General features: G+C 42.2%; 1 protein-coding gene and 1 long non-coding RNA gene across 49 annotated transcripts in view, besides 6 other annotated features; both read left to right on the top strand.

Moving 5' to 3' along the window:
- The window catches only part of UCHL1-DT (UCHL1 divergent transcript), a 36,654-nt gene extending 18,672 nt beyond the window's left edge, over positions 1-17,982 (top strand). Inside the window, exons 2-3 of the long non-coding RNA NR_102709.1 lie at positions 16,572-16,719; positions 17,708-17,982. This is a non-coding gene — a long non-coding RNA (UCHL1 divergent transcript). The remainder of the gene's footprint in view (positions 1-16,571; positions 16,720-17,707) is intronic.
- Positions 20,760-21,574: an enhancer, noted in NCBI's record as "NANOG-H3K27ac-H3K4me1 hESC enhancer chr4:41218499-41219313 (GRCh37/hg19 assembly coordinates)". NCBI's record gives its function as "activates a minimal SCP1, AML or CMV promoter by ChIP-STARR-seq in primed H9 embryonic stem cells {active_cell/tissue: H9 hESC(primed)}" and the evidence as "EXISTENCE:reporter gene assay evidence [ECO:0000049][PMID:30033119]".
- Positions 21,203-21,452: an enhancer, noted in NCBI's record as "active region_21507". NCBI's record gives its function as "activates an Ori minimal core promoter by ATAC-STARR-seq in GM12878 lymphoblastoid cells {active_cell/tissue: GM12878}" and the evidence as "EXISTENCE:reporter gene assay evidence [ECO:0000049][PMID:35858748]".
- Positions 21,583-21,632: a silencer, noted in NCBI's record as "silent region_15387". NCBI's record gives its function as "represses an Ori minimal core promoter by ATAC-STARR-seq in GM12878 lymphoblastoid cells {active_cell/tissue: GM12878}" and the evidence as "EXISTENCE:reporter gene assay evidence [ECO:0000049][PMID:35858748]".
- Positions 23,250-23,419: a silencer, noted in NCBI's record as "silent region_15386". NCBI's record gives its function as "represses an Ori minimal core promoter by ATAC-STARR-seq in GM12878 lymphoblastoid cells {active_cell/tissue: GM12878}" and the evidence as "EXISTENCE:reporter gene assay evidence [ECO:0000049][PMID:35858748]".
- APBB2 (amyloid beta precursor protein binding family B member 2) overlaps positions 23,514-27,908 on the top strand; it is a 404,516-nt gene continuing 400,121 nt past the window's right edge. For all 48 annotated transcript variants that reach the window (XM_047450191.1, XM_047450181.1, XM_047450169.1 and 45 more), the window contains exon 1: positions 23,514-23,651. The gene's annotated coding sequence lies outside the window, so the exon portion shown is untranslated. The remainder of the gene's footprint in view (positions 23,652-27,908) is intronic.
- Positions 23,830-24,139: a silencer, noted in NCBI's record as "silent region_15385". NCBI's record gives its function as "represses an Ori minimal core promoter by ATAC-STARR-seq in GM12878 lymphoblastoid cells {active_cell/tissue: GM12878}" and the evidence as "EXISTENCE:reporter gene assay evidence [ECO:0000049][PMID:35858748]".
- Positions 25,142-25,221: an enhancer, noted in NCBI's record as "active region_21506". NCBI's record gives its function as "activates an Ori minimal core promoter by ATAC-STARR-seq in GM12878 lymphoblastoid cells {active_cell/tissue: GM12878}" and the evidence as "EXISTENCE:reporter gene assay evidence [ECO:0000049][PMID:35858748]".

Here is a 27,908-nt window from a genome sequence, read left to right as displayed (position 1 = left end):
CCTGGCCAGTCATGCTTTTTTTTACATGTTTGCATTTGGAGCCCTGGCACCTTCTTTTCTAGGTCTCCTTATCTGAGACCTTGGGCAGAGGTCTGCAGGCACCTTGGCTTAGGCCTCCTTATGGGCAGAGAAGGGGAAACCTTAAAGACACTTGTACCCACTCTGACTCCATAGTTTTCCACTTCTAGCCCTTCCCCCTTGCCCTGACCTTGACCCCAGGGTTCATAAATCTACTGGAGTCTTTTGTTGAGGGCTCCCTCAACTGTGAGATAATCCCTACAGCTGTATTGACCCACCTCACCCTTTACTGGTGTGCAGTTCTATGGGGAAGACAGAATGGAGGAGAGTTGATGCTTTCTTCAGTTTGGCCTCTTGCTTGTACTGTTGCAGAAATTTACAAATCTTTCATTTTGGTTTGCTGCTTTAATTCGTTACTCTGATACTTGGCAGCTCAGTTCTCTTTCCGAGCTCAACTAACATATAGAAGACCGACATATAGAAAATCATTAAAAAGTCAGGAAACAACAGGTGCTGGAGAGGATGTGGAGAAATAGGAACACTTTTACACTGTTGGTGGGACTGTAAACTAGTTCAACCATTGTGGAAGTCAGTGTGGCGATTCCTCAGGGATCTAGAACTGGAAATACCATTTGACCCAGCCATCCCATTACTGGGTATATACCCAAAGGACTATAAATCATGCTGCTATAAAGACACATGCACACGTATGTTTATTGCGGCATTATTCACAATAGCAAAGACTTGGAACCAACCCAAATGTCCAACAATGATAGACTGGATTAAGAAAATGTGGCACATATACGCCATGGAATACTATGCAGCCATAAAAAATGATGAGTTCATGTCCTTTGTAGGGACATGGATGAAATTGGAAAACATCATTCTCAGTAAACTATCGCAAGAACAAAAAACCAAACACCGCATGTTCTCACTCATAGATGAGAATTGAACAATGAGATCACATGGACACAGGAAGGGGAATATCACACTCTGGGGACTGTTGTGGGGTGGGGGGAGGGGGGAGGGATAGCACTGGGAGATATACCTAATGCTAGATGACGAGTTAGTGGGTGTAGTGCACCAGCATGGCACATGTATACATATGTAACTAACCTGCACAATGTGCACATGTACCCTAAAACTTAAAGTATAATAAAAAAAAAAGAAAATTTTAAAAATTTTAAAAATTGAACGCTATAATTAACAATCTTAATCTAATGGACATATGTAAAACTCTGCATCCCACAATTTTAAAATGTGTATTCTTCTCAAACATACATAGAGAATTTACAAACATTAAGTGCTTAGTTATGAAGCATGAGTCAGCAAATTTTAAAGAATCAGTTTATGCAGACCATGTTTTCTAATTGCAACACAACTAATTTAATACCAGTAATAAAATGATAAATGAGACTTATAAAATTAACTTTGGAAATTAAAATTCACACTCTTTAGTAAATCATGGGTCAAAGTAGAAGTCATAATTAAAATTGGAAAATCTTGAGAACTGAACATTAATAAAACTTTAAATATCAATATTTATGAGATGCAGTGCTATCATATTTATGGGAAATTCATACCATTAAAAAGAAGAAGTGAAGTCAGGCCCAGTGGCTCATGGCTGTAATCCCATCACTTTGGGAGGTGGAGGTAGGAGCATCAATTGATGCCAAAAGTTCAAGACCAGCCTGGGCAATGTAGTGAGCCCTCATCTCTACAAAAATGAAAATAAAAATTAGCTGGGTGTGGCAGCGCATGCCTGTAACCCTAGCTATTAGGAGGGCTGAGACAGGAGGATGGCTTGAGCCCAGAAGTTTGAGGTTGCAATGAGCTATGATTGCTACACTGCCCTCCAGCCTGGGCCACAGAGTAGAACCCTGTTACAAAACACACACACAAAAAAAGAAGTGTAGAAAATTACTGAGCCAAGCATCCAACTTAAGAAGTTATAGAAAGAACAACAACATAAATTCAAGGCAAATAGAAAAGAGTAGATAATTATGAGCAGAAATAGATGAGAGTAAAATAGAGAAAATCAATAAACAAAAGTTAGTTTTTTAAAAATGATTAATCAAATAGACAATCATCTGGCAGAATTTACGGAAAAATAAATTATACACAAATAGACAATATCAAGGACATAAAATGGGAACGTAATCACATACACCTTATAGATTTAAAAGACAATAAGAAATACTATGAACAATTTTTTGCCAATGAATTTGAACCTAGAGAAAAATCTCAAATACTTAGAAAAAAATAGAAAGCATGCACTGTGAAAGAAAATAAAGCAGCAATCAAAAATCTTTCATGAAAAAATACTGAGATTTAAATGCTTTTATGACAATCTTACCAAACATTCAAAGGATCATCCTATTCTTACATAAATGATTCCCCAGAAGATAAAAGAGGAAATGCTGGGTGATATTAGGAAAATGGCAGAAGAAGGATCTCCAAAAATTCACCCCTTTATAAAAGGAACCAAAAACAGTTGAAGACTCACTTGAGAGGCTTTTCTTTATTTGTACTGACTGAGAGATGGCCTGTTGCTGAAAGCCTCTCCCACAGGAGCTTACAAGGAAAAGCTGAGCAGTGAAATGTCTACAGGAGCTTTGGAAAGGTTTGACATATTCCTGGGAATCTAGAAGGCCACGTGCATATCCTCAGGCTGCATACATGCTCAGGAAAACATGAGAAGCCCCTAAGCTCTCACCTGCAGCTGACCCTGAGGCTCTGCACAATCAGGAAATGAAGGCCCAGAAAGAGTTGTACATGGCCTGGCTGAGTGCTGATGATGTACCCCAAAATACACTCAGAGCCCCTTGCCAAAGATTGGGAGATTTATTGATTTCAGGCAATTAAGAAAATCCTTGTCCAGGCCGGGCATGGTGGCTCATGCCTGGAACGCAAGCATGAGCATAAGCAACAACAATAATAAAGCCTGAAGGTGGGTAGAACCTGATTTCCAGGGTAGTCACATTTCAGCTATTGTAATTTTCAGCTCCAAAAATTTCTTTTGTGAGCCCTCAAGGGGCTAATCTGTCAAGATGGACCCTGAGTGGTTAACTGGGCCTAAATTCAAAATATAGCCAAGTGGCCATTGGCTGACTAGAAGTCACACACTGAGAAATAAAAAGAAAATCCTAAGTCCCCCAACCAACTGAATGGACTCCCTCTTGGCCATGGGAACCCTAGAAGGGTTAATAACTGAATTCCCAGCCACGACAAGAAGAGAGGTCAGACACACCTTGTTAAACCCCCACCCTCACTAACCACCATTAGACTTTCTTTCCTAAGGGTTAAACAGAAACCGCCCCTTTTGAAAGACTTGCACCACCACTGACATCAACTAACCACCTGACACTGCTGCGTTCCCCTCCCTTTTTGGAGTTTCAACACAACAGCTGATCAGCATTCCTTCCTAATAAGAGACCATTGACAATGGACTGATTCTGGTCAGTTCGCAGAGGCTGTGCACAAGATGCCCTTGTGTCCTCTGTTTCACCTTTGATCTATACAGCCTAATTTTAATGCATTTAAATGTTAAGCCTCCACCCTAAAGTGAACATGGGACATGTGTAGTAACATGCATGTTTACTTACTATGCATGCACACATTCACCCCATCATAAATATTCATAACTCCTCCTATAACCTATTAAATATATACACTTAGACAAACCATTTGGCATAAATTCCAGTCTCATTATTCCCTCCCTCAAAGTGCCTGCTTCCAGTTTCTGCCCAAGGCTACACTGCCCAGCCTGCAGATGGCCAGTGTGCAGATTGCAACCCTTTATTTTTTTATTTTATTTATTTATTTTTGAGATGGAGTCTCCCTCTGTTGCCCAGGCTGGAGTGCAGTGGTGCAATCTTGGCTCACTGCAATCTCCACCTCCTGGGTTCAAGCGATTCTCCTGCCTCAGCCTCCCCGAGTAGCTGGGACTACAGGCTCGCGCCACCATGTCCAGCTAAATTTTTTTTGTATTTTTAGTAGAGACGAGGTTTCACCATGTTGGCCAGGCTGGTCTTGAACTCTTGACCTCAGGTGATCCGCCCGCCTCGGCCTCCCAAAGTGCTGGAATTATAGGCGTGAGCCACTGCACCTGGCCACAACCCTTTATAAGAAATAAAGCTCTCCTCTCCAAATTTTTGAACCTTATGATTCTTCAGTTGACAACACATACTCTGAGTTCCTGGCAAGCCCCCACACTTATTTAACTTTGAGACTTCGTAGCTGCTGTTCTGTTTATGCTGCCTGAACCAACCAAAGACTGTAACCTGCAGCTACCAATCAGAACTCAGCAAGCCTCAACCAAGCAGAACTAAGCAAGTTTGCATCCATCGTTTGCATAAGTAGACCAGAGTGGTAGCCTGCGCAAGAACTCTATAAAACACAAGCACTTTCTTTGTTCTGTCTGAACACACCTTCATTTTATATCAAAGCCTGTGTATCTCTGGTTTGCAAACCATTTGCTAGAATAAAGTCTCTTTCCTTTTTCTCGAAAGAAAACACTTTTGAGTGGATTTGTTGACACTTTTTATTTTTATAACATCTATCTCTTCATTAATAACCTCTATTTAGTGAGACTTTGCTCTAATACTTTTTTTAGTTCTTTAGAAATCAACTCCTTTTGTTCTTGGACCATATTTAAGATAGCTGACTTAAAGTCTTTGTCTACTAAGTCTAACATCTGGAATTCTGGGACAGTTTCTACTGATTACTTTCCCCCATCATGTATGAGCTATACGTTCTTGTTTCTCTTTATGTCTCTTAATTTTTTGCTGAACACTGGACATTTGTTTTTTTCCCAGTTTTTGGCTGTTATGAATAATGTTGCTATGAACATTCATGTACAAGTTTTTGTGTGGACATATGTTTTCATTTCTTTAGGATATATTTCTAGTAGATGAATTGCTGGATCATATGGTAACTCTATGTTTAACTTTCTGAGGAACTGCCAAACTGTTTTCCAAAGTGCTACACCATTTTGCATTTCACTAGCAGTGTATGAGGGTTCCGATTTCTCCACATTCTCACCAACACGTTATTTTTCTTCGGATTTCATCCATCCTTATGGGTGTGAAGTGGTACATCATTGTGGTTTTGATGTATATTTCTCTGATGGATAATGATGGTGAGAATATTTTCTTGTGCTCATTGGCCACTTGTGTATCTTCCTAGGATATAACCTTTTGAATCCACTCTACTCATAGTGCCCTTGATATAACTACCCTTTGTTTTAAGAGCATGTTTTTCATTCTCTTCTTACTTGAGTGATAAGCATCATTCTCTCCTATAAACACTTTCTTCACTTGGCTTTCCAAACAGCCTACGCTCCTTCCTCCTTGATCGCACTCCTTTTCTGTCACCTTTACTGCTTCCTCCTCAACTCCAGGATCTAGCCATTAGGGGGCCTCCATGACTCAGTTGTTGAGCCTCTTCTGCTGTCTATTTATACTCATGCCCTTGAAGACCACATCCAACTCATGGCTTTAAATATCGTCTTTATGCTGGAGACTCCCATATTTATATCTCCAGCTGGACCTCCCCTTGGATCTCAGGTCCACTGCCTACTCCAGCGATGTTTAATACCTAACTTCTCCTCAAAATGGAAGTTCCCCACCGAAGCTGCCCTTTACAAATTCTTCCTTTCTCAGAAAATGTCAGCTTCATCAAACTTCTAATTGCTCAGGCCAAAAACTGTAGTGTCATCCCTGAGTCCTCTTTCTCTCACATCCCAAATTCAATCTGTCAGTAAATCCTGGCAATTCTCCCTTCAAATATATCAGGAATTCTTAGCCCTAAGAAAATCATGAGACAGTCATTAAAAATAGTTTGTGGGTCAGGCATGATGGCTCACATCTGTAATCCCAGCACTTTGGGAGGCCGAGGTGGGTGGATCACTTGAGCCCAGGAGTTTGAGACCAGCCTGGGCAACATGGCAAAAACCCGTAACTACAAAAAAATACAAAAATTAGCCAGGCGTGGTGGTGCACGCCTGTAGTCCCAACTACTTGGGAGGCTGAAGTGGGAGGATAGTTTGAGCCCATGAGGTCAAGGCTGTGGTGAGCTGTGTTCAGGCCACTGCATTTCAGCCTGGATGACAGAATGAGACCCTGTCTCAAATAATAATAATAATAATAATGAAAAAAGGAAAAAATAGTTTGCAGACATCTTAGGTAAACCATGGAGTTGAGAAGTAGCATGCAAGTCCTATGTAAAGTGTGATTCCAACAATGCAAAATATGCCTCTAATGAAGATTTGAAAAAAACCCACAGAAATAATATCCTAAATAAGCTGCAGAGGTATTTTCATATTATCCCATATTTTTCTTTGAAAATATTTATCAAGCTACAAAACGCAAAGGAGATTTCAGAGTTCACGGAGGTTTATGAAGTAGAATACCATTTTAAATAGCCCTGTGACATAAATGAAGCTGGGGTTGTGGGGGTGGGGACTCATTTCTGGAGGCCTACTTGTGCCATGCACTGCACTAATTGTTTTTCACATACTATCTCATTGAATTCTCTGACCCTTTTTAAGAAAGGTGTGATTGACATGCAATAAATGTTTTAAATGTTTAATGTGTGATTTGATCAATTTTGACAGATGTATATACCTGTGAAACTATCACCAAATTAGGATCATGGACATATCCACCACCTCAAGTTTCCTTGCCCCTTTGTAATTCTTTCCACCCACCCTTTCTGCTTCCCAGGTCCCCAAATAACCATTGATCTGCTTACTGTCACTGTAGATTAGTTTGCATTTTCTGGAGTTTTATGTAAATTGAATAATACATTATGTATTATTTTTTGGCCTTCCTTCTTCCAAATAATTTTTTTTAAGAGATGGGGGTCTTGCTATGTTGACCAGGCTGGTCGTAACTCCTGGGCTTAGGTGAGCCTGCCACCTCCACCTCCCAAAGTGCTGGGATTACAGGCATGAGCCACTGCGCCTGGCCCCAAATAATTTTTGATGTCTTCTTCACATCTTATGGTTGAAGAAATAGATTCATAGAAGTCACGTAACTTTCCTAAAATGATATAGTAATAAGAGATGGACCTGGAATTCCAACCCAGTGCCACCTGTCACTTCAATGTGTTGAAAGTGAAGCCCTGAGTGGTTAAATGAATTGTCAAAGGTTATAATGCCAGCAAGTAGCCAAAGTAGGACAGAACCCACTATGCCACATGCCTCTTCGTTATTTATGTGGCTATTGGAAAGAGCATATGACTCATTTTACGTTTCACTAATACTGCATTTTCAGAAGTCTCAACTTTGACAATGACCTCAGGCAGAAGATCCAATGTGGTATGTTTTGGCAAAAGTTTCCTTCAACAATTTCTTTCAACTTGTCAGAATAGAGAAATCTACTTTTTTAGAAATTGCCTTTGATTTCCCTTCAATTATTGTCCTCTTTAGAAATATACTTGAAATTAGGTTAAAGGAAACCATTGGCTGGTTGGGCTTTTTTCCACTTCAGTTTTCTCTTTTGCAGTGAATTATCATCACCTTTGTTACCACCGCTTTATATTTTAGGTGGCCTAGATTGTCAAGGTAATGCATGAAATTGCAGCAAAAGAATTTGGTTTGTGATTTTCTAAAACTGCCACATTGTTACAGCTTGATTTCTAATGAATGTATTTATTAGGCTTATATTTAAGAGATCATATAAGTTTTATCCTAAACACTAGTTTAGTATCTGCAAAGTTTGATTAGTGGGTTGGGAGTTGTTTACATACTGAAAAACAAGTTTAAAAAAATAGAAAGGGCCGGGCACAGTGGCTCACGCCTGTAATCCCAGTACTTTGGGTGGCCGAGGTGGGTGGATCACGAGGTCAGGAGATCGAGACCATCCTGGCTAACATGGTGAAACAGTGTCTCTACTAAAAATACAAAAAATTAGCCGGGCGTGGTGGCGGGTGCCTGTAGTCCCAGCTACTTGGGAGGCTGAGGCAGGAGAATGGCGTGAACCCGGGAGGCGGAGCTTGCAGTGAGCTGAGATTGTGCCACTGCACTCCAGCCTGGGCAACAGAGCGAGACTCCGTCTCAAAAAAATAAATAAATAAAAATTTAAAAAAATAAAAAAATAAAAAATAGAAAGATATAAAATAATTTATAAGCAATAAAATGAGAGCCTTAAAAAGTATTGAAATTATGGAATGCTTATCAGAAAGGCAGGGGAAAGACTTTCCCACTGTTTTCAATCATCTTCTTTAAAAAATGATTTTAATTTTGTGCAACTACTGTTCTCTATGCATGTCAAGTGTCAGAAACCACATATTTCAACAAAGTTCCTGAATATTGTGGATAACTAACATATGTAAAATAATGCTCTATATCTATTGGGGCAGAGTATTTAAGGAGATGAAATGGCATTAGCTCCCATGCCACAAAAGCAAACTAGAATACTGTGGGGAAATATGTCAGTATGAACATTAATTGATACATAAGCCAGATTTACGAGAGTATAAATCAGCCCTGGGTGCGGTGGCTCATGTCTGTAATTCCAGCACTTTGGGAGGCCGAGGTGGAAGAATCGCTCGAGGCCAGGAGTTTGAGACCAGCCTGGGTAACATAGTGAGAACCTGTTTCTACAAAAATAAAACAAAATTAGCCTGGCATGGTGGGGCATGCCTGTAGTCCTAGCTACGCTGGAGGCTGAGGCAGGAGGATCACTGGAGCCCAGGAGTTCAAGGCTGCAGTGAGCTGTGATCACGCCAGTGTACCCCAGCCTGGGTGACAGAGTGAGACCCTGTTTCAAAAAAGAAAGAAAGAAAGGTGGGGGAAAGAGAGAAATAGAGAGAAAGAAAAAACATTTAAGTCAGAAAGGAATAGAAATCATCTTTAGAGTCTGGCTCTATAAGCCTCCTATTCCCAGATGTACGCCCAGCAACACAGCAGAGTAAGAACAAAGTACTAAACATTAAAAAAAAATAATGCTATTGATGAGGCATAGCCAGCCTTAATCTTTTCTCCTAAAAGTTTCCAAATTATAGATTTGAGCTTGTATTTATGAGACACTGAAACAACATTGGAATTTTTTTAGAGGAAAATGAACTGTGTACATGGAACCTAGAAAATTAATAAAGACATAAAAAAATACAACCTTTATAAAGAGATTCTTTATGACCTCTGTACTCATGAAACCTGCTTGTTCAGAGCTCTAATATTGTCAAACTTATCTTTTATTTATTTGTTCATATGTTTCTCTATTTTTATGTAGCATACCAGGCCAAAGAGGTTATACACAGGGCAACATTTATATAGGTTATAAGAGAGAAATATATACGTTGAAAGCAGCCATCACCGACTCTGCTCACCAAGCTCTTCCATCAAACTTTCCCACTAAACTACCCCTTACAGCAGAAGAACCTTGACCTCTGGAGGCCTTCAAGTGCCTGCCTCAGAAAAAATGTGTCTTTTGAGATAGATAGTTGGATGGATGGATGGACGGATGGACGGATGGACAGACGGACGGACAGACAGACAGACAGGCAGGCAGACAGATAGATGTAGTAAAGAAGGAAGTCAAAGTTTACTATTAAAACATCCAGTTGAAAAACATGAAATCAAGAGAACAAAAGTATAAAAATGAACATTAGGATAAGAGGTAGGAAATGAGATGTTCTAATTCAAGCATTGATTTTAGCTGTTTTTGACTTCAGTGACATTTTATTTTAGAGATAACAAGTTCCTGGATCTCTCTATTTTTGTATGTCCTACATTCTATTAGCACAAAATGGAGAAGACACAAAATGTGGAAAGAGATGAAGATACTCACATATTTTTCCAGTTGCCTTAGGAAAGTTATTGTACCTCTCTGAATTTCATTTTTCCCATATGGAAAATATGAATACTCACAGTACCCACCTCACAGAATGCCTCTGGGATTAAGTGAATTCATATATGCACAACGTTTAGCAAATAGGAAGCCCTCAAGCATGTTAGTTACTACACGGGAAAGTACAAAAGCCTATCATAGGTTCGTTTCATGGAACTATGAAGGCCCAGGCTTGCTCCAGGTTTTCTCCTTTTCTTGCTTGGCCTGCGGGATGGAGCCTGTCTTCCTCTCTGGTTCAAAGCAGCCATCACAAAGTCTGCTCATCCAGCTTTCCCATTGTGCTTTCCCTCTAACCTACCCCTTACAGCAGAACTTTGAGCTCCAGAGGTCCCCAGTTGCCTGCCTCCGGAGAAATGTGCCTTTTGACATCTTGTGTTTCATCTAAAAAACTTTTGCCCACTTTTTAGTCTACTTCATTATATATGTGTGTGTATGTGTGTGTGTGTATTTTTGTCTTTGTTTTTGTTTTTGAGACGGAGTCTCGCTGTATTACCCAGGCTGGAGTACAGTGGCGCGATCTTGGCTCACTGAAACCTTTGCCTCCCGGGTTCAAGCTATTCTCCTGCCTCAACCTCCTGAGTAGCTGGGATTACAGGCGCCCGCCGCCATGCCCAGCTAATTTTTGTATGTTTAGTAGAGACGGGGTTTCACCATGTTGGCCAGGGTATTGAACTCCTGACCTCAGGTGATCCGCCTGCCCTGGCCTCCTAAAGTGCTGGGATTACAGGCGTGAGCCACCGTGCCTGGTCTATATATATGTTCTAATATCAAGTATTTTCTCCAAATTTCCTAACACATTTGTCACTCCAGGAGGATGTAGGTTTATCCTGTGATTTCCAATAATTCCTAGAATGTGTTGTATGTTCCCATGGTATAAAGAACTCAGTTTAAGAAAGAGAGACTGACTCCCAGTTCTTAGGATCTGTTTAGTCAGGAAGAATCAAGGAAGGCAGGTCTTTTGTCTCAAGCAGGAATTTAACCACTCTGAGGACCTAGAGCCACTGTGGAAAGGGGCCCTGCAAGAGGGTAATTCAGCTCAGACAGAAAAGAGAGGCAGGACATGGAGCTGGAGAAAGATCCAGTTCTGATGATATCACCTTGATCCTCTAGTCCTCGTCATCACCAGCCTCTTATATTCTTCTTATAAGAATACCAGCCATGGCCGGGCCCAGTGGCTCACGCCTATAATTCCAGCACTTTGGGAGGCCAAGGCAGGCGGATCACGAGGTCAGGAGTTCGAGGCCAGCCTGACCAATATGGTGAAACCCCGTCTCTACTAAAAATACAAAAACATTAGTGGGTGTGGTGGTGCGTGCCTGTAATCCCAGCTACTCGGGGGGCTGAGGCAGGAGAATAGCTTGAACCTGGGAGGCAGAGGTTGCGGTGAGCCGAGATCACGTCATTGCACTGCAGCCTGGGCAACAGAGCAAGATTCCGTCTCAAAAAAAAAAAAAAAAAAAAAAGAATACCAGCCGTATTGGATTAGGGAATACTCCTGGACTCTTGAGTTGCATTTTCTCTTTTGCTCTGGCCTGCTCTAGCCCTATGCCTTGAGGTGCCCTAATATGGCGGGTCATCGCCAACCTCAATTTAAAAAAATGAGAATTACTTTGTAAACATAGATTATTGTATGAACTATGTACCTATGTTCTCAAATGCAGTGATGGAACATTAATTATATATACATTTTTTTCCAGCTTGGCTTACTTTTTACATTTTTTTATTTTTTAACATTGTGGTAAAATACATGTAACAAAATTGACTATCTTTTTTTTCCTTTTTTTCTTGAAGCGGAGTCTCGCTCTGTCACCCAGGCTGAAGTGCAGTGGCGCAATCTCGGCTCACTGCAAGCTCCGCCTCCCAGGTTCACGCCATTCTCCTGCCTTAGCCTCCTGAGTAGCTGGGAGTACAGGAGCCCGCCAGCACACCCAGCTAATTTGTTTGTATTTTTAGTAGAGACGGGGTTTCACCGTGTTAGCCAGGATGGTCTTCATCTCCTGACCTCGTCGTGATCTGCCCGCCTCGGCCTCCCAGAGTGCTGGGATTACAGGCATGAGCCACCGCACCCGGCCTAAAATTGACTATCTTAATCATTTTTAAGTGTACAGTTCAGCAGCATTAAGTACATTCCTATTGTGCAACCATCAACATCATCCATCTCCAGAACTCTTTTCACCTTGCAAAACTGAAATTCTGTATCCATAAAACAGTAACTCCCTATTCCCCCCTTCCCCCAAGCTCCTGGCAATAGGATTAGTTATATTTGAAATATAGAAGATTGTCTGAGGCCAATACCTATGGGGAGATTGTACTCCAAAACTTGAGACATGTATTGTGCCTCTTGTTATTGCAATCACATTTGAAGGATCCATTTATCAGATTTCGTGTTCGTTCTACATATTTTCACAAAATCAATACTGAAATAAGTTGGAGGTAAAGTCACTTTTTGGACCTAGGGAGTTTTTAAAGTGCAGTCAATATGTCATCACAGAAAAAGAAAGTAACATTTTGCAAGAATTATTTGGACTTCATTATTTTGTCTTTGACACCTCTGACTGTCTCTAAAGTTTATAGATATTAGTTTAGGTTAATGAACATTTTCCTGGCTGGGCGAGGCGGCTCACGCCTGTAATCCCAGCACTTGGGGAGGTGGAGTCAGGTGGATCACCTGAGCTCAGGAGTTCGAGACTAGCCTGGCCAACATGGTGTAACCCCGTCTCTACTAAAAATACAAAAATTAGCTTGGCATGGTGGTGGATGCCTGTGATCCCAGCTACTCGGGAGGCTGAGGCAGGAGAATCGCCTGAACCCAGGTGGCAGAGGTTGCAGTGAGCTGATATTGCATCATTGCACTCCAGCCTGGGCAACAAGAGTGAAACACTGTCTTAAAAAAAATTTCCTGTATAATTTTTAACTATTTATAAAGGTATTTATTTGGAATGAATAGTGTATTAGTTTCCTAGGGCTGCCATAACAAAGCACACAAAACGAAAGTCTATTCCCTTGCAGTTCTGGATGCTAGAAGTTTGAAATAAAAATGAATGTCAGCAGGTTGGTTCCTACTGAGGGCTCTGAGGTCATGTCTATTCCATGCCTCTCTCTTAGCTTCTTTTGACAGCCAGCAATCTTTAGTGTCCCTTGGCTTATAAATGGATCGCTCTAATCTTTGCCTCCATTTTCCTGGGGGCATTCTTCCTGTGTCTTCACGTAGTTGTCTTCTTATAAGACTACCAGCCATATTGGATTGGGGCCCACCCTATCCAGTATGATCATATCTTAACTAATTTACATCTGTCTGGCCTTGTTATGAAATAAGGTCTCATTCTGAGATACTAGCTTAGGACAACAACATATCTTTTTGGGTGGATGCAATTCAACCCAAAACAGTCAGCCAGGATGAGCCTGATTAATGGCTTGTGTCTTTTATAATACTCTGATAGTTTAACTATTTTTGGACTAACAGGCCAAATAGCACAATAACCAACTCATTGCCTACTACTTACTAGGTATGCAAATATGTTTGTTAAATGAATGTTGCTACCAAACAGTTTAGGAATAACAAAAGAGAAGAATCTCTTTCAAAAAAAAATTAATACCAATAAAATTCTAAAGATTTTTCATCAAAATTGATATTGGAAGTATAAATTCTATGTGGAAAAGATATTATGAAAGAAGAGCTAAGTCAGTTTTGATAAACCAGGACAGAGAAGAGAGACCCACACTACCAGATATCAAGATATATTACAAAGGTATAGAAACAAAAATAGTGCAATATTACCACCCTAATAGAAGAAGTAGTCTATGAAAGGGAATAGAGAGCATAGGAACAGACCAATGAGAATTGGACATATAATAGAGGTGACATTATAAATAAGTAGCGATGGAAAGATTGTTTGATACGTTGCATTAGAACAGTTGGCTTTCTGCTTGCAAAGTTATATCCCTGTTTCACAGTGTATTAGAAAACAAATTAAAGTTTAAATGTGAGAACGAAACAAAATAAAATACACAAAACTTGTAACCTGTCAGACTGTAATAGGGAAAAATATTTTTATGACCTGAAGTAAAAAAAATTTTAAAAATTTAGAATATTTTTTCTAGTCATATTTTGAGTCATGAAAAAAATAACACATTAAAATTTGTAGAAACAGCTTTGAAATATATATATAAGACTTTAGATATTAAATATATATATATAATATATATATGAGGAGAAAGAGATCTATCCCCTGCCTCACCTAGTATTTCCTCTTCCTCTCCTCTTTCCCTAAGTGTTCTCTTAGAAAATTCAGACTCTAGGCAAAACTTTTTCTAGTACATTTTTAATTTTGCTCTTTTTATGACAACAAATAACATAAATAACATGCATACGATATTGTACCTAATGTTCTCAGAACTGTTATCTGATACAAACTTTAACATAATTTCAACAGAACTAAGTGTTTTTCTATTAGTGATAACTTTCTAGAGAGGATATGAAGCTATTTTACCTTTTACAAAAAGGTAAAAACTGGTAGAATATTAGCCTGCTCCACTTTTCCTGTACCCTATTCCTTCACTTCTTGGAAACTTTATTCCAAGAATTTTGCCAGTGCATGATGGAAGAAAATATATGGTGATTTGTCATGTTTACTAATGCTATAACTTTGATTTTTAAACTTTTATTGTCTAAATAAGAGTTAAATTATTACTTGCAAAGCCATTGACTTGGAAACCATTTTCATGAGAAATCATATCTCATTTGATTAAAATAAAGACAGAAAATTCAACCTCAAGGAAAGCTCATTTGTCTTCTACAAATAGCATTTCAGCGAGTCAAAGAAATTAGAGGTGGAAAAATCAATTAGAGCTAATCTACCAGCTTGTCAGAAAAGATTGCTTTCTACGAAATATATTCTAGCTCTTTGTCCAGGTTAATTCTAAAAGTCTCACGGGATGGAGCACTTGTTATATCCTTTTGAAGTTTTTCCTTTTATCTAATTGACCCTACCAAGAATCTTTTTTTTTTTTTTTTTTTTGCTAATATCTAACTTCCATATTAGCTACTAATTCTGTGCTATTACTTTTAATCATACCTCTTCCTATACTAATGTCCCTTCCCCACCAAGTTTGGTTTTTATGATCTCAGATATTTGTAAGGAGCTAGCTTTCTTTCATTTAACCTAATGACAAATGTTTGCTTGTTATAATAAGCTCTTAAAAGCAAAAGAAATCTTTAGATCTTTTTTCTCCATCTTCCTTTCTTTTCCTATTTTGCAGACCTTGTAATGAGGCACTTAAAAGTGAAGATACTGGCAGGAACAAATAGAGAAAGGAGACTATAAATCCCTTGCTTGATCAAGAAGACTATCAATGTCTTTGCAAATTAGCAATATATATTTTATCTATCTCTGGGATGAGCAAAGCATTTTCTCTTGTAAATGATTTCTAGTTATTTTTAAATGTCTTCTCTCTCAGTGTTCCTCATTTCAGATTCCCCATTCCTATTTAATTATGTTTATATGAATTTAAAATGGAGTATTTTTTCAGGTTGGATGGTGTAATTTATGTACCCTGTGAACATGAAGGTGATGGTTTTCCTCTATTCACAAGATTTAAATTCTTGCCCTTATCATGCAGACAATTACTTGTGAGGCACCCTGCACATTGGTGCTCTGGAGTCAAGTTTCTGCTGTTTGATGATAACCAAAAGAGGGATTCTAGGAGTGGTGAGAGATATCATATAACCAGGGAAGGAGATTGCCCTGGGCATAAGAACATAAATTCCTTGTAGCCGGAACCAGTTCAATAAAATGCCAGTGTCTGCACTAACAACTCCTGGTAACCTGGGGGAAGGGCAGAGACAAAGAGTGTGATGAATTTTATTGTGTGCTTTTGTGCTCATTTGAGTTTCTATGAATTTGTGTATAGAGCTGTCTATTACCATTGTTCAGGAATGATTGAATACGTGTTTATGAAATTTACTAAATATGTTTTTCAATATTAAAAATGTACAGAAACATTTAATTAGCTTTCTCTGCTTACCAAGACACTGTCAGCACTTTAAATAACAAAAAAAGATGTGGTAGAATTTTTCTAGAAAAAGGGCCCTGTACTACCTTTCACAGAGTCATAACATCTCTTTAGGTGAAAGCCTGTGCTCTGGAGCGAGACTGCCTTCTTCAGATTCTGCCTCTGTCCCTTAGCTGTGTGACCTTTGGAAAGTAATTTCACTCCCTTGGCCTCAGTTTCCTCTGTTATAAAAGAGTAATCAGCCTATCTGAGGAAAAACTATTATAAATTGAGACTAAATTGCGTTAACATTTGGATGGTTTTGTTTGTTTGTTTGTTTGTTTTTTGAGTCAGAGTCTCACTCTGTTATCCAGGCTGGAGTGCAGTGGTGTGATCTTGGCTCACTGCAGCCCCTGCCTCCTGAGTTCAAGCGATTCTGCTGCCTCAGCCTCCCTAGTAGCTGGCATTACAGGTGTGCACCACCATGCCTGGCTAATTTTTGTATTTTTAGTAGAGAAGGGGTTTTACCATGTTGCCCAGACTGGTCTCAAACTCTGTGAACTCAAGTGATCCACTGGCCTCAGCCTCCCAAAGTGCTGGGATTACAGGTGTGAGGCACTGTGCCCAGTGAGTTAATGTTTGTGAAGTGCTTAGTGCAGTGCCTTAAAAACTAATTTAATTTTTTTCTTCCTTTCATTCACTAAACAGATATTTATCAAGTGTCTTCTCTGTGATGTGGCTGAAGATAGGAATTTACAGCATGGCAACAAAGAATGATACAACATCTAACTGTACTATGTGTGAAGTGCTACAAAAACATATGGCAAGCTCTGGAATCAAGAAGTGAGGAGGCCAGGTGTGGTGGCTCATGCTTGTAACCCCACGACTTTGGGAGCCCAAGGTGGGAGGATTGCTTGAGCTCAGGAGTTCGAGTCCAGCCTAGGCAACATAGTGAGACCTCATCTCAACGAAAAATAAAAAAATTATCTGGGTGTGGTGGTGCACACTTGTGGTCCCAGCTACGAGGGAGGCTGAGCCAGGGAGGTCGGGGCCTCAGTGAGTCATGAACGTGCCACAGCACTCCAGCCTGGGTGACAGAGCGAGACTATTTCAGGCAAAAGGAACGGCATAAGCAAAGGCACCAAAGTTTGTAACTGCAAGATTTGTTGGCCTGTGTGTGACCAAATATAGGTAAAGATCGTGGGGTGGGTGAGTGGGAGAGGGGATAAGATGCTCTTCCTACTTCAGCTAAGTTGCAAAGGTTCAGGAACTGTGGCCACAGCAAGTGGCCCATGGGGTTGTGCCATTGGTGACACACTGTGCCGTGGTCTTGTCTGTTATTTGCCGCCAGTCCTCCATGGATCCCGACCCTTTTCTTAACCTGATTCTCCATCTTTGGGTTGAGACAGTGAGCTGCCTGACAACTCTCTCAGAAATTATTTTTTCTGGGTAAGTTAACCAGAATGAGTTCCTTTTGCTTGTAACCAAGAGATGTCTCATACAATAGAGAATGTAATCTCTTTGGCATGTCATCTGAATTTCCTAAATTTTAATCAATAAATAATGAAGTACTTCTGTAATAAAATACTTGTATTTAATATAAAAATCAAATGTAAATGTAAAACATAAAAATTTAATTGAAAATTATTTAAAATGTAAAAAAAAATTCACATTGAGACAAAAGGATAAGATGGATAATTAATAATAGTGGGAACAATTTGAAGATAATCTGTATTGAGTGCTTGCCTGTGGGCCAGATACATTGTTACGAGCTTCACGTGCAATATCTCACATGCTTGGTAACAACAATAAGATATTCATGCTATGATTATCATTGTTTTCAGATGAGGAAACTGAGGGGTGAAGAGTTTAAGTCGTCTGCCCAAAACTAGCAGTGGGAGAGTGATGCAGCCAGGATTTAAACCCAGGTAGCCCAAATACGGCATCTACAATCTATCTCAAATCTATGGCATCACAGATGAGCTGGTGTCCACCTTTCCCTGAAGGAGTTGAAGGAGCTTTTATAGAAGAAGTGATATCTGAACTGGACCTTAGAGAGTAAGTAAAATTCTGCCAGATAAAGAATATGTAAAAGTGTTAGTCCAGCCTGAGATTTGTGTGCAAGGGCAGAGTCGGGAAAGGCCACTACGTGCTTGCAGGAATGCCTCATGGGCATAAGTTGCTGGCGTGTGGGTGTAGTGGGGGTTGGGTAGAGGGAGAGGTATGAGCTGGGGACGGGGTGGCTGAAAAAAGAGGTTGGTAGTAGAGGAATCCAAATATATTTTTGAAATGGAATAAGGGTTGTTATATTTTTAATTTTCTTTTTATTACCAACCAAACAAGCAGCAGTGATGGAGTGATGGAGTTTGATTATGTGTCCTTCAGTTTAGTAGTTAAGATTTTATCTTTAAGCAACTGGAAGTCATCAGCGGTTTTAAAGGAGAAGAATGACATCATCAGCACCTTTTTTTAGAAGGATCACTCTGGCAGCGGTGTGAAGAAAGGGCTTGGATTGGGAGTGATGGGTGTCATCAAGGTTGGTTAGCAGGATTCTGAAATATGCATGAAAAGACAGTGAGGACAGTGGACAGTGAGGACAGAGAGGCAGGCCCACATTTGAGAGGCAGGCATTCCTGAGTTGGGAGCAAAAGGGCTTGGTGATTAATTTAATGCGGGTGGTTGAGGAGGAAGGAAGAATTGAAGATGACTGAGATTTCTAGTTTAGAAACCTGAGTAATTGGGGAATGTCATTAACTGAAATAGGAGTGGAAGGAAGGAAATCATCCTATGTGAGGCCTACCAGAAGCTTTACATATGTTATTTAATCTTAAATAAACCTATAATGAAAAAATTAACATGCCCATTTTGCAGATAAGAAAAGTGAGATTCAGTGAGGTAAAGTAGCTTGCCCAAGGTCACACAACTACTAAGAGCTGGAATGTGAAATAAGGTCTTACTCCAGTGCCCCTATTCTTTCCATGATAGTAGGGGACTTTATGCTTTGTACCTCTTTGTACCTTTCTACACTCTAATAATAATTTTAGTTTGGAAAAATAGGACTGAAGCTCAATGGGAAGGTAGACCATGGAAACATGGTCCTCCCAGGAATAGTGCAGTATGAAGAGAGATTAAAGGATTGCCCTAATGACATTAAGGCCCAGAGCAGCACTGTTGAATACAATTTTTTGCAGTGATGCAAATGCTTTTTACTTACATTATCCAATACAGTAGTCATTAGGCCATATGCTACTGAGCACTTGAAATGTGGCTAGTATGAAAGAGGAACCGAAGAGTTAATTCTAACTGATTTTAAGTGATTTCAGATTAAATAAGCATATGTGGCTAGTGACTGCCATATTGGATGGTTTAGGACTAGAGAAACCAGTCAGGCGTAGAGGGTTCATCAGAGAAGAGGCCTTGCTGGTACCCCTGAAAAATCACTCGATATTTGATCATCTGCCTCATACCTCTGGGTAATATTGGTCCTATATTTGGGGACCATAATTTATTAGCTAGCAAAAGGTTTTTTCCTAGTGTGGACTACAAACTTATTTTACTATGTTTTATCTTTAGGAGAGTAAGTACAATACTCCCTCTCCTTTCTTATCTGAGAATCATTATAGTCATTTTCTCTGTATTTACATTTTTCCATACATAGTATTATTTAAGAGCTCAAGCTCCAGGAAAACTGCCTGGGTTCAAATCCCAGTTCTGCCAATGAATATTTTGTGCCTTGAGTTAGCTGCTTCACATTTGCAAGCCTCACTTTCCCTATCCATAAAATAGGGATAATAATAGTGCTTCATTTATAGGGTAGTTGTGAGGATTGAGTTAAATAACCTATGGAAAATGCTTAGCCAGTATCTGGCACATGCTAAATAGTCAGTAAGAGTTAGCTATTCTAAAACTAGTACCGTGTGACAGTGTGTATTTTGTACCTCTGCATTTTGACATTTACTCAACTCTATTTTTGCTTCAATAGAAGGTGTTCCTCCAGATCTCTGTCAGAACATTCCAAAAAGAAATTCATTCCTCAAGATAAGAAGGTAGACAGAGTTTTGAAGAATTAGATTTTATCTTATTGCAGGCATGAGTTTTGAGTTGTTTTTTATTTCACTTTGATTACTAAATTGTTAAAGTATTTAAAATCATTACAGAAGAAAATCATGACCGTGATATTTTGTTGTGATCATTAAAATTCCCTTGGTTTAAGCTCAAACCGTTGCACATATACCACACAATCAAATAATAATACTAGAAGTTCTTAATGTTGGCACAGAAGATTTCTTGATGTTTTGTAGTTATACTGTTTTTTTTGTTTTGTTTTGAGATGAGGTCTTGCTGTGTGGCTCAGGCTGGAGTGCAGTGGCTATTCACAGGCAAGATCCTACTGCAACTTTGAACGTCCAGCCTCATGTACCCTCTTGCCTCAGCCTCCCCAGTAGCTGGTACTACAGGCTTGGGCCACTGCACCTGACTCATACCTGTTTAATTGAAATATTTAATTCCTAGACTCTGGCTATTCAATGCCACTTAGAAGTGGCTGGATATTTGTTGATCATGGACTATTTAAAGACTAATGACGTCACAGGAACAAGTAATAGGATCCCTTTTGTTGTCACCTATTTTGTATTTTGTAATCTTTGGATTGTAAAACTGCATTGTAATATAGTATTGCACTCCCTACGGTGTTTGTGCAAAAAACATTTTTTTTTCCCCATTAGATTGGAATTTTGAGAAATCTGGCTTCAAGTGCCAGTTCTGCCTTTGGTTTGTCTAAATAAAGAAGTCATTTATTTCTCTGGGCCACAGAGAGGTAAATGTCATCTGTAAAGTCTAAGAGTTGATCTTGATTTGATTCTAGAATGGTCTTGAGGTATCCTTCCAAATAAAATTCCTTGGATCTGCCTCCTTCCCCCAACTCCCTAGGAGGACCTTTGGCCTTAAGGGACTTAAGAGAGGTCAGTTTTATCTACTGTTCACAGCGTTTACTTCCATGCTTTAAAAAACATGCTCTTGGAATATTCTTGGATATTTCATTTCCTTGGAAAACAATTAATGGGTGAGTCAGCATGAAGAAAAAAACCCACTCACAATAGATATAAAAATTGCATGAAGTGGTGAAACGAGAAATGATTTTCTTTGTAAACTGAAATGATGAGGTATGCAGAAACCAATTACGTATTTATAAAATGAGCGCGCGGTGGGAAAGCTTTATGTAGCAAAGCTAAAGTGCTGTTACATATTTAGCAAGACAGAGGGCATGGAGATTCCTCTCCATACTGCCTTAAAACTGCTGTTAAACGTTCCTTTCAGTGAGAGAGACAATGTGTTGGGAGGCGGACGAAGGAAGGAAGCAAGGGAAGGGTCAAAGCCTTCCCTCCGGCCCCGATCAGTCCCCTCTGTAAATTCATAATTAAGGGAATTTCCTCCTGCAGCTGCGCAACGCTTGGTGGCCGTTTCGACGTCACTGTCAGGGCATTTCAGGGATTTTGTGTGCCCAGGCAGTGACTTCCCGACTTCTCCGGCGTATCCCCGACGGGGCGCAGAACACCGCCCGTGGCGAAGTCGGGCCGGGGGAGTTTGGGAACCCGTCCCCGGGAGCTCAGCGGCCAGAGGAGGGCGCGGAAGTGTTTCCTGGGTGAGCGCGGCAGCGGGACCCGTTTCCGGAAGGCTGATTGCATCAGGTGTGGAGCAGGGCGCCTCCTCGGCCCAACCTGGCGGCCTCTGCGCCTGCGCGCGCCGCCCCGCCCCCCCCCCCCCCCCCCCCCCCGCCGCCGCGGACTCCACCGCGGGTTTTCCTCTCCGTCGGGAAGAGACCGACCTGGGAGGGGCAGGCTCCGCTCACCTACCCCGGACCCCCGAGAGAGAGCGGGGTGGCCAGGCCGGGTTCCGGGGATCTGAGGGGAGCTGTGAGGTCCGGGAATAGAGTGCCTTGGAAAGAGGACCCGTCTGCAAGGTTGGAGGCTGGTCGATCTCCGCTCCTGACGGGAATGGTGGTCTTGGGCTGGTTTCCTTGCCTCTTTGGCCTTGAAGATCACAGACTAAGAACCACAGGCTCTCCAGTTCAGAGAGCCTGTATTTTCCCCAAGAGGTCTACTGTGGCCCTCGACTGTCCTTGGTCCACGGACGTGTTAGGTGGATCTTGGGGTGCAGAGACTCAGTCCCAAGAGTAAACACTTTTCATGAATTTATAGGGATTTCTCTGTGACAGTATTGTTTTTATGTTGTAGGAAGGAGGGACATGATTGCTGGCCTCCAGCTCGGTCTGAGGGAGATAATTGTTAATTGGAGAGGTTATTGGAGTGCAAAAGTCAGAAACCACCTTCCACAAGGCAGCCCCCCTCCCATCCCTTCGTAACAACCTCACTGAGTCTGCATGAGGGTCCCTCTATACACTCTATTCGCACCTTGTGCATTTCCCTCCCAGCACTCTACCTGTTTGAAATAACCGTTTTGAGTGATTATTTGATAGGTGTCTGTCACCCGGCCGGACTATAAATTCCATGAAAGCAGGGGCCTGGGCTTTTAAATTCACCACTATCCTCAGGCCTAGTACAAGACCTCGTGGATCCTTAATAAACTCATGTAGGAAAGAATAAAGTAATGCCCACCCCACTGCATAGAGTCCTCATAGGAAGAATCACGTGAGTTTTTAATTCGAGATCCTTGGTAGGACTGTGTGTGTGTGTGTGTATGGGTAGGGTTCTCTAAAGTGTATAGTCCTCACACCAGCAGCATCAGCATCCCATGGGAACTTGTTAGATATACAGATGCTTGGGCCCCACCACATATCTACCCATTCAGAGACACAGATTGGGACTCAGGGATTTGTACTTCAGCAAACCCTCCAGGCGATTCTGATCCAGGCTCCAGTTTGACAACCGCTGCCCTGGTGAAGAGCAATCCTAAGGATACTTTGGGGATGTCATTCACAGCGTCTGGGGCAGAGCACGGTTTACCGTTTACTGAGACTCGACTCTTATCAGGGCTTTGTTTGCACGCTTACAATTAGAGTTATAGATAATATTATTGGCAATGGAAAGGAAAACCTCCTTTTCCTCTCCGGCAGTTGTATCTCTCCCCTGATATTATCTTGTGATTTCCGGATCAAAGAAGAGTGTGTGTGCGGCATATGCCTGGGGGTGGGGATAGGAGGTAGAAGGAAGGAGAAGGTGTCGCCTACAACTTGCAGTTAGCCTGGGTGGGTGTGGGCAGCTCTCCTGTGGGGACATTTTCCTATTGCAAGGGAATGCTGGCGTGTGGGAGAAAAGCCAGGGCTAAGGTAACCCAACTGCCTTTTGGTGCAGACAGACACCAGCCACACGGAGGGGATACCCGGGCTGCACTGCACGTCCTGCCTTTGGGTCTTACTGGGGGACCCATTGCCTCCCTGCGTGTTCCCAGGCGATTGGGGAGGGTGCCTCCCGCAGGCCCTGCCGCCTCCACCTGCAGGGGTCGCCCTGGGAGCGCGGCCCGCCTCCTTCTGCCCGGCCCCCACCCCCCGGCCCCGCCTTTCTCCCATTCGGCCCCCTCCCCGCCGGGTCCCTCCAGCCTTCCCTCGCGCAGCCGCTGCCAAAGCCTGGAGAAGTGGAATCTCGTCAGCGCCGCTCCCTGCGCGGGACTCGCGGAACGGCACTGAGCATGCTCAGTTGCCGGAGCCCGTTCTGGTCTCAAGTAGGAAGCTAGTGCGCTGTAACCGCATCTGATCTGGGCGCTCCGGGAAGGGCGAGACTGGAGCAGAGCCGCTGGGCGCCGGAGCCGAGGCGAGCGCCGCGCGCACCACTGGTGAGCCCAGCTTTCTTCCTTGCCTTTGCCCCGGATTCCGGGGCAGCACGAGAGTGCTGGGGAAACACCCGGGTAGCGGCAGCAGCGTGCGGCGAGCGGCTGCGGGTTCCCCCGGCGGCTTCTCCTCTGCTCCCGGCCCCGGGGCTCCGCGGCCACTGCTGCCCGCTCAGCCGCAGCCACACCTGCAGCAGCTGCCGCGGCATCTGCAGCGGGGCGCCTGCTGCGGAGTCCCGTGCGCCCTGCGCCCGCGCCGCAGGGCCAGTGGCACGGCGACTGCGGGCTCACTCTCCTTGACTTCCATCCCTCCCGCTTCCCGGCGCCCTCTTTCCCTCAGCAGCCCCGGCTTGGCAGGGCCTGGGGCGGGGGAGACCGGGTTGGAGGCGGTGCGCCCGGGTGGGGACTGCAGAGGGGAAAAGTGAGGGTGGGCGCCTGCGGGAAGAGCGCACACCCCCTTGTCCTGGCACCGGCCTCCGCTGTGCCGCTCGGCTGTCTCTCCTGGGCGGCAGCGCGCTCCTGCCGGGGAGTTGGAGCCGGGGTTGGCTTCTCCACGAGGGGTTCAGAGGCCAGCCCATGAGACATGAAAGGGGGGAAAAGTTCCTTTTCCCCCTCGGTGGCAGAGAGAGCGTTTAACTAGAAAATGGCTGTGCATAGGGGACCGACTCCAGGAAACTGGCCACTGGGACCCGAAAGCCCCTGCGCTGCCCACCGGGCGGAATGGAGGGTGGTACGCTAGAAATGACATTTGTGCGGCGAGAACAGAGCTGGACGGAGGGAAGGATGCTGAGACCCATAGAAACAATGAAAGGTGGTCTTCACGTCGGTGAAGTGGTGTAGACTACGGGTTCGGGGCAAACAGCCGAGGGAGCATGGGACTAGAATTCAAAAAAATAAATTAATTTGGATAAATCATATGTGGAGTTGTCACCGACCGTTCTGTAGTCAAGTTCTGCGCGGTTTTAGAGCCACGACTGTCACAGACGTTTTTGGATGGATTGAGTGGTTGAGGAGGGTTAAAATTGAGAGGAGAATAAGGTCAGTGTCGGAAGCTCCAACTGGGCTCTCGGAGGGGACAGTTTGTTTAAGTCCCTCAGTCACTGGCTTTACATTGTGTCTAATTACTTACGTGAAATACCCAAAGGATTATCATAAAATGATGCCATCGGTGGTGTTTGAATTCCAAGGAATGAGGAAACTTTGTGAGGTTGGCATGGGTTTATCATTTGTTTTAATATTTCACTGATTTAAAAAAAACAAACACAATGGCAGTTTGATCTGTTGTTTCTGGAGTTTACTCTCTTAAATCTTGCTTTTTTTTTTTTTCTTGTCATGGTTTCAGATTTAAAATCTTGTCCCCAAATGGCCATAATAATGCAGAGTATTAGAATTTGTGTGGCTGGCCTTTTAGGAACAGATGGAATCCTTGAAAGGGGATTTCTTCATGAACTTAGGTAGCAACCTTCTCGTTTTCAACTTGTAGCTTGTAAGCAATATTTGTTCAACAGTTGTTTATCATAACTTGCAACATCCTAGAAATGGCATCGTTCGTGAAGGATGGTATTTGTGGCGAGAATGGGGAAACCTCCAGGCTGGGGAAATGCCGAGAGAACACAGGTGGCAGTAGAGTACAGTGGGTTGATCATAGGGCGGAAGGTGGTGGGGTACAAGTACAAGATTTCAATTGCTGTTCTTTCGTTGTCCATGTACTGTATGACCCCGAAGTCACCGACAGTCTTCGTAAACTGGATGTAACCACGTCTCTAGATATTTGCTGAGAGCCTTTGAGAGACGACTCTAAAGTTGAGATCCTTTCCACAGAAGGTTTTTAGGTCCTATGCTTTTATTCCCTCTTCTAATGGATACTTTTAACTGAATAAATTCACCTTCAAGGAGCCAATGTGAACTGGCTTTCTGAAATTTTTATAAAGTGGTAATTGAAAAGCTGGATGGTGAGGTGGGAGGATTGCTTGAGCCTAGGAGTTTGAGGCTGTAGTGAGCTATGATCACGCCACTGCACTCCAGCCTGGGCAACAGAGTGAGATCCTGTTTCTGAAAAAAAGAAAGCTTGATGAGCTAAAGTGCAAAATACTGGTGTTTACACTTAGCTGGAGTAATGTGAATACTGACTCCAAAATTACTTGGGAAAAAACTATTGCATATATTGTAAGAATCCACATGTACAAACATAAAATATTTTTAAACTGGTACTTTTTGTCATGTTTCAACCTTTTGATGACTGTTTTCTTTTCCTGCCACCAGAAAAACAGCATATGAACATTGAATTCTTTTATTTTTCTGTTACCACAGGAATGAATACTGAAAGCCTTGTCATAATATTAGAATAATGATGTGTGTGGACTATCCTGAGTACTGGATATCTAAATTTATCTTTTAAGAAAAATGGAAGGGAGAGCATCAGGAAGAATAGCTAATAGATACTGGGCTTAATACCTAGGTGATGGGTTGATCTGTGCATCAAACCACCATAGCACATGTTTACCTGTGTAACAAATCTGCACATCCTGCACACGTACCTGGAACTTAAAAGTTGAAGGAAAAAATAAGAAAAATGGTATGTCGTGTCTCTGTACCTTTTTCAATTTCATTTTAAAAATAGACAATACCTGGCCGGGTACGGTGGCTAACACCTATAATCACAGCACTTTGGGAAGCTGAGGCGGGCAGATCACTTGAGGTCAGGAGTTTGAGACCAGCCTGGCCAAGAGGTAAAACCCCCGTCTCTAAAAAAATACAAAAATTAGCCGGGTGTGGTGGCTCCCGCCTGTAATCCCAGCTACTGGGAAAGCTGAGGCAGGAGAATCACTTGAACCTGGGAGGTGGAGGTTACAGTGAGCCAAGATCGCGCCACTGCACTCCAGCCTGGGCAAAAGGGTGAGACTCCGTCTCAAAATAAATACATAAATAAAATAAATAAATAAGTAAATAAATAACAAAACAAAACTGGACAATACCCTTGTGATATAACACCTTAAGTTTTCCGGGGGCGGGGGAGGGGAGCAGGTGGGACAGACTTTTAGGAAAATATTGTAATAAGTTATTACTGGTTATGGGGGGAATACTTATTTTCCTACATGGGGTTAGGAAACCAGCATTTGTTCAGTGCCTAGTATTATTATTATTATTATTATTTTTGAGACAGAGTTTCAGTCTGTCACCCAGGCTGGAGTGTAGTGGCGCGATCTTGGCTCACTGTAACCTCCACCTCCCAGGTTCAAGTAATTCTCCTGCCTCAGCCTCCTGAGTAGCTGGGATTCCAGGTGCCCGCCACCACGCCTGGCTAATTTTTGTAATTTTAGTAGAAATGGGGTTTCACCATGTTGGCCAGGCTGGTCTCCAAGTCCTGACCTCAGGAGGTCCACCAGTCTCGGTCTCCCAAAGTGCTGGGATTACAGGCGTGAGCCATCACGCCTGGTCTGTTCAGTGCTTTTTATGTGTCCTATTATCCTATTAAGGTTTTGTATATATCATCTTATGCTGTAAGCATCTATGCATAAATGTCAGCTGTCTAAGAAAACCCCTCTGAAAAGGTAGATGCTCGTGATTTCACAGCAATAGAGCTTTAAACTTTTATCTTATATGAAAATATCTTTAATTGATTCCATTATTATTCAGTAAGCATTCTCTTTTAAAGCATCTTTGATTTGTTATTTAGAATTAAATTTGATTGGAACTGCATATCTTCAGAATGATTTGAATGTTTTCAAGAAGGTTCTATCCAGATTTTAAAACTGTTTTGTGTTCATTTATTTTCAATAATGTTGCACTACCAACAAATGAAATTAGATGTCAGAAGATAAACCCAGATTAGCCATTTTGATTTTAATGTGTTATTAGTGCATATTCTGCATGCTGATATGTGTTGACGGCATTTCTCTCAGCCGAAATGGTTTGTCAGAGGCAGAGTAACAGACTCTCCATAATAAAGGGTCTGGGGGGATTTGGAGGAAAGACTACTAACCAGGGACCCCAAAGACTTGCCTTTGGGGCTGGCTTGTCCCTTACTTCAATTCACTGTGTTACCTGGAAAAAGTCAGTTATGTCTCTGGGCCTGTTTTCCCATCTGTAAAATGAGAGAGCTGCAGTCACCCTCTGGTTGTCTATCGGGTCCTTCTTGTCCCAGTCTAGAGATCTGTGATGCAGCCATTCGAGGAGAGAGGTCTTCGTTTAAGAGCAGGGGTCCCCAGCCCCCTGCTTCGGACCTGAACTGGTCAGTGGCCTATTAGGAACCGGGCCATAGAG

Source organism: Homo sapiens, chromosome 4 (genome assembly GCF_000001405.40).
Source record: "Homo sapiens chromosome 4, GRCh38.p14 Primary Assembly".
NCBI lineage: Eukaryota > Metazoa > Chordata > Mammalia > Primates > Hominidae > Homo > Homo sapiens.
The sequence above is the reverse complement of the archived record's forward strand: the minus strand, read 5'-3'. Positions and strand labels throughout refer to the sequence as shown.